Consider the following 10848-nt stretch of genomic DNA (forward strand, 5'->3'; position numbering starts at 1 on the left):
TCAGATCCCTACCATGGGCAAAGGCCGCCACCCTATGCCCCGCTTGTTTGTCTTCAGAGTGGTGGTGACAACCATGTGTGCCAGGCCGAGCTGTCAAAAGCATCAGGTGAGAACACACCCACAGGCTGCCGGGCCAGACAGCGGTTTTGGAAATGTTTCTATTTCCCTATAGTTTATGAATCCGGTTGGGAAGGGCCTTTGGGTGGTCGAGTTCTGGTCCAGGGCGGTGGAAGAAGAGGTGAGCACCAGCCTTTGCAGCCTCCCCAGTTCATCCTCCTCACGCCCGATGAGGTTCAGAGAGGTTGGGTTGCTGCCTCCAACCACCCAGGCCACAGGTGGAGACTTGGATTGGAAAGAGCACTGCTTCCCTCCAGCATGCAGACACTGCTGGGTAAGGAGATGAGAGCTTGCAGGAGCTCCAGGGTCCCGGGGCTGAAGGGTCTTTTTTCTTGTTCCTGGGATGCACTCTAGTTACAGAAGTGATGTTGTCAGCCTTTGCCCCACGCTCCCTCATCACCTACTGGCTGGATTCCCGGGGACTTTGTCTGTGAAATAGAATCACACCGCACTTATTTGGATGAGCTGAAAGGTACAGCCAGACTGTGATGTGATTAATGCCTTAATCTACAGACTCCAGACTGGGAGCAGGAAGCCTTCAACCCAGAGAGGGCTCTGCCTGAGGATGCTGGGAGCCTTCTGCAAGACTGAAATCCTGGGATCAGAGCTTCAGGCCAGGCTCCGTCTCATAGGAGATATTTTGGACACCTAAATCCCAGCTACATCCCAATGTCCCCAAAATAACCACCAGCTAGCACTTCTGAAAGTGCTGGCTGTTCTGTTTCCAATCAAACTGCCGCCATCTGACAGCTGTCCTGGAGGAGGAGGCTGTGGGAGCGTTCCGGGTCTCGTGGATCCAGGTCCACTTGCCACAAATCCCTGGATGCCTTTGAGCCCCATTTTCCACATCAGATGTGTAATGACCCCAATGGTACAATGGGGTTTCTGACAATTGAATTAAATAAAATAGTCAAGACCTTTTTGAACAGCTTTGCCATTTAAACGTTCCAATGAATGATGCACTGTGATGGGGGAAGGGAAGGTGGGGCTGCCAGGAGCACCCACCCACCTCTGAAGGCCAGGCTTGCCCTGGTCCATCTGGGCACCAGCTGCCCCCTGACCTGGGATGTTCCTTTTCTCCCCTACCCACCCGCCCCCCCTCCACTGGGCAGCTTTCAAGATAAGCCTCAGCCCTCAACTGCAAATTCACCTCCTCGGGGAATCTGCCTTGACTCCCTGGCCAACAGATGCTGCGTCCCTTCTCTGTGTTAATATCTGCAATTCAGGGCCAGGCTCATGCCTGTGATCCCAGGACTTTGGAAGGCTTAGGCAGGAGGATTGCTTGAGCCCAGGAGTTTGAGATCACCTGGGTAACACAGAGACCTCATCTCTAAAAAAAAGAAAAAATAATCTGCAATTCATCCATCATATCTTACTCCATAATTTCTTATTCTGTTCATTCTCTGTGTTCTCTCCTCTGCTAGGTATGTCCCACCCCTCACCTGTCTTCACCTCCCTCTCTCCTCCCATCCTCGTCCCCCTTCTCCCCTTCTAATCTCTCTGTTTCTCTTTCTCTCTCTGGCCATCTCTCTCTGTTTCTCTATTTCTCTCTCTCTACACACACACACACACACACACACAGCACTGGGCTTTGCATGGACAGCTTAAGAGGCTGACACAGCTCCAGTTACCCCTTCCCCAGGACTCACCCAGCTTCCCTTACCCCCAGCCCTGTGGGCACTTCCCATGTGGTAGCATGGAATATCAGAACAATGAGTACTCAAGGGTTGAGACTAAATAAAATTAACTGTTGCAACTGCTCCCATCAGGGGCGCTCCTGAGTGAAACTGAGTTTTGTCTTCCTGTGAATGTGTTCAGGTGCAGAACACACAATGACCACTAGTGGGGGTGTAGAGTCACCACCAGCATCTGTTCTGGGGCACCCACAGTATTATCCACCATTGCTATTGTACATCAGGGCAAATACGGCACAGTGAAGAAGGAAAATAATACCTTAAATAATACCTGAGTATTAGTATAGTAGCATACCTAAGTATACTATATAGTAGTATACAGTAGTAGTAGCATACCTAAGGTATTATTTGAGTATTTTTGAGCACATGGACACGTAAGCAACGTCCTGGGGACCGCTGGGGTCAGCCGACCAGACTCAGAAAGTTGCTGCCCTAAAGAGAGGGTTGGTTTCTCTACTTTCACACGGGCCCTCTCCAGTTCATTTCCCCCTGGAAATATGCCACAGGCTTCGTATCCGGGGAGAATAAAGTGCCACAGCACTGTGTCCAGGCAGCTCTCATGCCTTCCCACCCCAGCATCCTGTCACCACTGTACTCGTCTCTCTCCAACACCAGACACTGGTGTTCCTTCAGCCCCTTCGGCATGCTGCGTTTGCTCTGGGGGAAGACCCTTGCCCTGCTATTCTCTAACCAAGCATGCTTTGCCCTCAGACTTTTCCCCATTTGGCTCCTCCTTCCACATAGAAGCCTTTCCTGCCCTTGCATGTTCCTCCCACCCAGTCTCATTACCTGATTTTGTTGTCTTTGCAGCTCTTGTCGCCATGAGAACTTTAGTATTGGTTTGTGAGCATGTTGACTTTCCGTCTGTCCACTAAAATATAAGGTCCGTGAGGGCAGGGATTCCTTCTCTCCAGATAATTCCTGAATCCCCAGTGCTGCAAACTTTGGGAGACCCTATTTGGTCCTCAGCAGACTTCTATGTTGTCATCATTAGCCAAGACGTAGGCTGGAGGTGGGGAGCCGAGTGGAGGGGAAGGGACAATGTGCCACCATCCCCTCATCCCTCCCTTCTTCCTGCTGACACCTGAGTGGGAGTGGTCGGGCCAGTCCAAGCAGATCTTACAGCCTAGGGGATGTGGAGCCCAGGGCATGAGAAGCAGGATGCTGGAAGTTCTGGCCAGTGGCAATAGTTTAAATAGTTCAAAGTGAAGGTGCAAGTTAAGTCAGGATTTCCTCTTCTGGTAAGGACAGACTAGGCAATTATGACCAGTTCTCCAACTGAACACAATTAAAATATCTAGGCAAAAATATCTTCTTAAAAATTGTTACAGAACTAATAAGATAGTGAAAAATGTACAGGCCAGAATCACAGGAAAATGGGGCCAAGCCTTCCCATGTGTGGCTGCTTTACTCCTGGGGGCACTGTGCTGATACCATGGGGATCAATAGAGAGGCCAAAATACAGCAGTGCTTTCACAGCCATGTGGGGTCCCAGACAACAGGGAAGGCCCCAGTGAGGCCCCCTCATTTTAGTTGAGACACCAAAGGGCTGAATGTGAGGAGTGGTGAGGGACTAGAGCAGACAAACCTTCCCAGGAAATGGAAGTGACTTCTTATCATCTCAACACCTGGGGTTGAGTTGAGATGATTTAGACCTCAAGTGCTAAAAAGCAATGGAAAGAAATGTAAGTCATCTCTGAAAGAAGATAGTATCATTGTAAGGCTTAATTTAGTCTTCCAAACAACTTTTAAAACACATCAGGCACAATAACCATGCATACATGGAGTCAAAACGATATGAATGAAACCAGCAGAAACAACAGACAATAGAAGTAATCACAGGGACTCTAGCTATTGGAGTCATCAACACATACTTCTAAATAACTATGTTTATAATGTTCAAGGAGATAAAGGAAAAATTAGAAATTTCAGTACATAAATGAAAATTCCTTTTTTAAGTGGAAACTGTAATACTGAAAAATCAAATTAGCAAAATAAAATTAAGTGGATGGATTTAAAAGCAGATTAGACATAGCTGAAGAGAAAATCAATGAAATAGAAAGTCAAAATAAAATGTCTGGAATAAAAAAAATAGAGCTACAACATGATGGAAAACATAGAAGAATGGGTATGAAATAGAACATAAGGAACAGGTTTAAGATCCTTGTAATTGCAGTCCCAAAAGGAGCTGGGAGACTAGGTAGGTCAGAAAGAAAATTTGAAAAGTTAATGGCTGAGAAATTTTTAAAGCTGATGAAAGACTTCAAGTACAGAAGCAAGGAATCTTATAACCCCTATCAAAATGCAAACAAATAAATAAATAAAAGAAAATCCTCACCAAGCTATGTCAGAGCAAAACTGCTGATAACCATAAGCAAAGAGGATTTTTTTTTAATTAGAGAAAAAGACACATTACCTTCAAAGAGCAACTATTAAAATAATAGCTACTTCTCAACAGCAACAATAAAAACTAAAACACAATGAATGATATCAAGTGCTGAAAAGGAAATAAGTGCCAACCAAGAATGTTATATCCAGTGAAAATATTCTTTAAAAATTAAGGTTAAATAAAGAGAATTTTCATACAAACAAAACAGAGAATTTATCACCAATAGATCACACTAAAGGAAATACTAAAGATTGTTCTATAGGCAGAACAAAAATGATCTCAGGTGAAAGGTAAGAGATGCAAAATATATAAGGAACAAAAAGAGTTTGTGTGTGTGTGTGTGTGTGTGTGTGTGTGTGTGTGTGAAAATAATGCCTCATTGGGCTTAAAACAGAGAATTAAAATATACAACAGCAATGCTATACAAGAAGGAATGTGATAAATGGACCTTATGTGTTTTTAAGCCCTTAATTGTCCAGAAAGAGGGTAAAATAACAAAAAATACTAAACTTTAATAAGCCAAGAATGCTTATTGCAATATTCGGGGCAACCACTAAAAGAATATTCAAATAGTCTAAAACTTTGAAGTTAATGGTGGTAAATAATAAAATAGATAACCCATGAAATGCAATATGGGATAGAAAGCGAAAACAAAAAAGGGAAAATTGAGACAAATAGGCAACACTTCATATATTTAAACCCAAATGGTCATTCACGACATCAAGTCATTCCATCAAATGCATAAGCACTCACCTCTCCAGTTAAATATGAAGACTGCTGCATTTAAAAAAAATAAAGAGTCAACTATACACTGTTGACAAAAGACATATCTATGACATTGTGACAAAGGTAAAGGGAAAAATGCACACACATATATATAAAATGTAAACACCTACCAAAGTTGGTTTTTCTTTTAGCTGTGTAACTATGTTGATATTAGATAAAATACGTTTTGGGGGCATAAAAAAGAACATTTCATAATAAAGTTTTCAATGCATCGAGAAGGTTTTAAAAATATAAATTTATGTGCACTAGTAACAGATGCTCGAAACATTTAAAACAAAAATTGATAGAACTACAAGGAGAGATAAACAAACCCACAGTCAATTGGGATACGTTAATACATGTCTTAGTAACTGAGATAACAAGCAGAAAAATAAAATCAGTCAAGATAGAGGAAATCTGAAGAACATGAATAACAAAATGGAACTAAGAAATATATATAGAATACAGTACCTAACGAATAAACTCTATTTTCAGGAACTCACATCAAACACTTGCAAACTGCCTGACAAGTTGGAGCACCAACAAAGCCTTCACAGCTCTCAAAGGAAAGAAAAGATGACAAGTCTTTTCCACTATGACTGTTCTAGAAAATGAGAATCAACCATCCCACCTTTGGCAGAGCCTGGGAGGAAGCTGTGGCCACCCTAGGATGGGATGGGGAGAAATCCGCCAAAGGCTGCATGTGGCCTGCAGGATCCCTGCAGAACTGCTGGGCACTCCAGATGCAGATGGCGCCTGCGCTCAGTCATAAGCTCTTCCCTGCCTGGGTGCCAGCAAGAAGGGCAGGGCCGAGGGGAGTCACCTCGATGGTGCAGCCCAGTGATGGACAGCTGGAGAGGACGAGCACAAAATGCAGTCGCCTCCCCAGGCCTCTGCGCACGAGAATCAAGAGTGCCCTTCCCATTCTCAAGACAAGGTAAGAAACCACTGACTGGGGAAAGGGGAGGAACGGAGGCCATCTGCCATTGGCTGAGGGGCAGGAAAATTCCTCGGCCCAGAATTCCACAAGGCAAAGATGTGATCCCCCTTCCTGGAGGAGAGAAAGAAAACTTTCTCCTTCCTAAGACCTGTCACAGATACCAGGTAGAGTTAGCCTGCCACAGGGGAGGGGCCAGAGGGCCAGAATACGTCAAGGGCCTCACCCCAAGCTCTCTCCAGTGGTCAGCAGGGATGACCCAAGCAGAGGGACAGGGCGGTGGCAACCATACCTCTTTGGGGTCTCAGATTCAGGGCTATCTCCTTAGAGTTCTCTCTCCGAGCCCTCAAAATAGCCCTCGGTCCCCTGACTCCCTTCTGTCCCTACAATGACATGAAATCATTCTGACCATTCACCTGTTGCCCCTTTCCTGTCCACAGCCTCCGCTGGAACAAGACCCAGAGTGCAAGGACTCACCTGGAGTCCCGTCTGTTCCGAGACAGGCTCTACAACCTCCTCACGAATGAAGGCCTGGGAACTGCCACTACCTATCATGAAAGGGCCAGTTATTAACTGCCTACTGTTTGCCAGGCATTGGATTTGGCCCTTAACCCACACAAGGGCCCCATGAGATCAATATTTTTATTTGAATTTGTAGAAGAAGGAACTGGGGCTCAGGGGGGCTGGCACAGCTGCTGTGTGGAGAACTGAGCCCTGCACCTGGCCTCGCCTCTGGCCCCGCAGACCTGCAGAAGCTCGCATGTTGCCCTGCCTCCCAGAGGAGAGGACCTGGGTGGGGCTCATCATTCATCGCACTAAGAGTCATCGCCGTGGCTCCCCCAGGCTGGGCCTGCCACACACACCTTGGGCATGAGGGCGAGACAGCCCTGGGGAGTTCCCGGCCCAGGCCAGCCCCAGCACCCCCGCCTCCTCACTGTGGTTCTGGGCCCGTTCCCAGCCTCACAGAGTGGCTGCTTCCTGAGAGAGCACACACAGCCCCTCGTGTTTCCACACCGAGGCCCTGCCCCAGTGCCCTTAAAAGCGCCCCCTCCTTGCACCCAGTCGGAGCCAGGGTGAGCGTTCACCGCCACTGCCTCTCCATGAGCCACAACAGACAGCCTCACTGGGATCCTGGCATTAGGCCACAATTAGAAGACCCGAGTTTATAATCCAAATAAACTCCTCTTTAATGAGAATACTTTTCCTTTCATTATTTTATGGGCAGCCAGTTAGAGCCGCTTAGTAAAAATTATTTAAAATAGCAATAAGGCTACCGTTGCTGGTGGGGGGTGATGAAGGCGGTGGGCCCTGAGCATCCTGTCAACGCTTTGAACTTGACGGGAAGATCCAGGCCACCTTGAGCAGCCCCCTGGGTGCTGGGGAGGGTCTAAGGCCAAGGATGCCAGCAGAGGCGACCCAGTGAAAGGGGGGAGCCCAGGAACAACATGGCCGGAAGCGCAGAGGACAGCCGACCCGTCTTCTACCCCCACAGTCCAGCTGGGGAGAGAGGCTTGGGGAACGGAAGGGCCCCATAGGTGACCACGTCAGAGCCAAGGCCTGGGAAAAGCAGGAGGAGGAGGAAGGGGACAGCGGCCTCTCCAGCGGCCTCGTTGGTGGTGACAGTGTCCTGTGGCAGGGCACTTCCTCACCCCAACTACAGTAGCAACGTAACGGCCCCAGCGGTCATGGGTGCTCACATTCAGGTACCCCTTCTCTGCACCAGGCGGGCTCTGAGCCCTTCATGCAACACCTCCTTTGATGCCTGCAACAACCCTTTGAGGTGCCAGGTGGTCTGAGCGCTCCATGCAGCACCTCATTTGATGCAATAACCCTTTGAGGTGGGGAGTGAGAAGATTTCCCTCTCACGAAGGAGGAAATGAGGCACAGAGAAGCATTAAAGTGGAACGTTAAATCCACCCCAAGGGCATGTTAAGGTGGAAGAGGGTCTTGGATCTCTACGTCCTGCCCTGCCTCAGTGTCCAGAGGACCCTGGGGACCCCAGAGAGACCACACCGTCCACAGGGACAAGCCAGGCAAAGGGACGCTTGACCAAAGCTAGGAGTTCACGCCAAGTTTCACCTGATCTTCTGTGGAGCCTGCCCTTTACAGACTTGAGGTAGGATTGTGGGGGTTAGAGCTTCAGACACTCTTAACTCCCTCCTCCCAGCCCCATCTGCAGAAGCAGCGCCACGGCCAGAATCCAGAAAAGTGGGCTTGAAGTGGGAGCTTGGACAGCCCTGGGCAGGCAGTACCTTGAGGACCCAGGACAGGCAGGAACTCGGGCCCAAGTGGGAATGAGTTACTGCCCATGGAAGGGGAACCCAGGACCACTCTCAGCGGCCACTGCTTCCTCACTGGCCCCCCTTTCCTCAAGCCACGGAACCCTGGTTTGAAAGCAGCGCCCAGGCCAGGTATGGTAGCCCATGCCTATAATCCCATTTTGAGAGGCTGAGGCAGGTGGATCACTTGAGGTCAAGAGTTCAAGACCAGCCTGGCCAACATGGTGAAACCCCGTCTCTACTAAAAATACAAAAATTAGCCGGGCATGGTGGCTCATGCTTATAATCCCAGCTACTCAGGAGGCTAAGGCAGGAGAATCACTTGAACCCAGGAGGCGGAGGTTGCAGTGAGCCAAGACCATGCCACTGTACCCCAGCCTGGGCAACAGAGCGAGACCCTGTCTCAAAAAAAGAAAAGAAAAGAAATAAGGCAGTGCCCACTCTCAAAGTGCAGCCAGGAAAGGGGACAGGCGAATTGGAACCCAGTGAAGTGTGCTGGCCACAATATGCTTCTCAGTGACCTTCAGTGCCAAAATCATGGAGAGGAGACAGACGCAGGTTCTGACCCACAGATTCCATGACGATTACAAGGTGGTTCTTGCCAAATGCCAGGATGATCAGGGCTTTCTGTTACGTAACAGCAGATAACCAGAAAAGTCACCAACTATGTGATGATTTCTGGTATGGTTTGGCTCTGTGTCCCTGTCCAAATCTCACCTTGAATTGTAATAATCCCCATGTGTTGTGGGAGGGACCTGGTGGGAGGTAATTGAATCGTGGGGGCAGGTTTTTCCAGTGCTGTTCTCATGTTAGTGAATAAGTCTCACCAGATCTGATGGTTTTTTACAGAGGGGAGTTCCCCTGCATATGCTCTCTCTTGCCTGCCGCTATGTAAGACTTCCCTTTGCTCTTCATCTTCTGCCACGATTGTGAGGCCTCCCCAGCCATGTGGAACTGTGAGTCCATTAAACCTGTTTCCTTTATAAATTACACAGTCTAGGGATGTCTTTATTAGTAGCATGAGAGCTAACTAATACAATGTCTGAATGGCAGGATTTTTTTTTTGAAAAAAAATTTTTTTTTTTTTGAGATGGAGTCTTGCTCTGTCACCCAGGCAAGAATGCAGTGGCCTCTGCCTCCCGGGTTCCAGCTATTCTCCTGCCTCAGCTTCCTGGGTAGCTGGGATTACAGGCACACACCACCACGCCCGGCTAATTTTTGTATTTTTAGTAGAGACAGGGTTTCACCATGTTGGCCAGGCTGGTCTCGAACTCCTGACCTCAGGTGATCCACCTGCCTCGGCCTCCCAAAGTCCTGGGATTACAGGTATGAGCCACGGTGCCCGGCCTGAATTTTTTAATAATTAGTAGCAAGTATTTTTATGTAACAACAGAACCATTATTTATTACAAATGCTCTTACTGCTACGTCATGCTCTCCACCACAGAGCTGATTTCACCCAAGTTACGCCTCTCCAAATCCACATCTTCATATTGTGAGCTTGCTTAAAATCAGGTGCAGTGGCATGAGATTGGCATCACCCTGGAGGCAGTCTGTCCGGGGCCAAGGGGAGCAGCCCACAGAATCTTACCCTGGGTGGACATTGTATTGCTGATGAGGACAAATTGCCCAGTTTGGCAATCCATGCAGCCCTGCTTCTCCAGATCATTGTTTATGTTCCAACCCATTTTGTACCATACTCAGCCAGACAAAAGCATCGTGCCTCTGCCAGTTTGATGCAGGGCTTAATTCCCTGAAAAATCAGTTTGGCCGGCTGGTGTATGGCAATGCCCTTCCAAGGGAGAGCTCTCCAGGCTTCTGTTATTCAAGAAATGCTGTCACTCAGCTCTGGAATATCACCCTAATTAAAAAACCTCTCTGCTCCAAATAGCTCCCTTTACTTAAGGCTGTTTCTTTCCCTAATCACAAAAAAAAAAAAAAAAAAAGCTGTTACAAAGTCACTTTTTTTATATAAGACCCATATGTCTGAACTCTACCCTGTTAATGAGGCCTACCCAAAAACAAAACACAGAACACTAAATGGTATAAATCTGTGAGTTCTTAGAGTGACGATAAATATCACCAAAGTATGTTTACCAATATATGTATTAATAGGCCAGGTGCAATAAAGAGATGCATGAGGATCATCAGAAGATTTGATAAATAAGCTCAAAATAAAGGAACCAAGTGCAAATGGACTTGCTTTATGTCTCGAGGCATTTTTCTGCAGGCTTTCAAGAGCAGAAAGCAGCAAGGCTGAAATCTAGGATAGCATATTGCCTAAAAGCATGGGCTATGAACTCAAGCGCCATGGCCAGTTCAACTCCTCCTCCTTGTGGCTGCATGGCCTTGGGCTGGTTACATAACCATCTGTACCGAGGGACTGAATCCTAGGACTGTGTTGATGATTCAAGGAGACAACCTATGCAAAGCTCTGAGCAAACAGCCTGGCTCACAATAAGCACACAATGAATATTAGCTGATAACGATCTCATCCGATTTCACATTTAGCCAGCAGGCAGCCAGTGCCCCTACCCTGGAGCAACCTAGCCAGTGCTATGCCAGAACCAGCTTGCACCGACTCTTCCAGGATCAGCATTCAGCAGCATCACTGTGGTTGCTTGGAACAGCCCATGGTGGGAGTGTTTACACCAAGGAAATCAGCAAA

The 10848-nt window shown here is 47.5% G+C and overlaps 1 annotated feature.

Moving 5' to 3' along the window:
- Nucleotides 1770-2064: an enhancer, noted in NCBI's record as "tiled region #13395; K562 Activating DNase matched - State 12:CtcfO". NCBI's record gives its function as "activates a minimal TATA promoter and a strong SV40 promoter by Sharpr-MPRA in K562 cells {active_cell/tissue: K562}" and the evidence as "EXISTENCE:reporter gene assay evidence [ECO:0000049][PMID:27701403]".

The sequence above is a fragment of the Homo sapiens genome, chromosome 22 (genome assembly GCF_000001405.40).
Source record: "Homo sapiens chromosome 22, GRCh38.p14 Primary Assembly".
Taxonomy (NCBI): domain Eukaryota; kingdom Metazoa; phylum Chordata; class Mammalia; order Primates; family Hominidae; genus Homo; species Homo sapiens.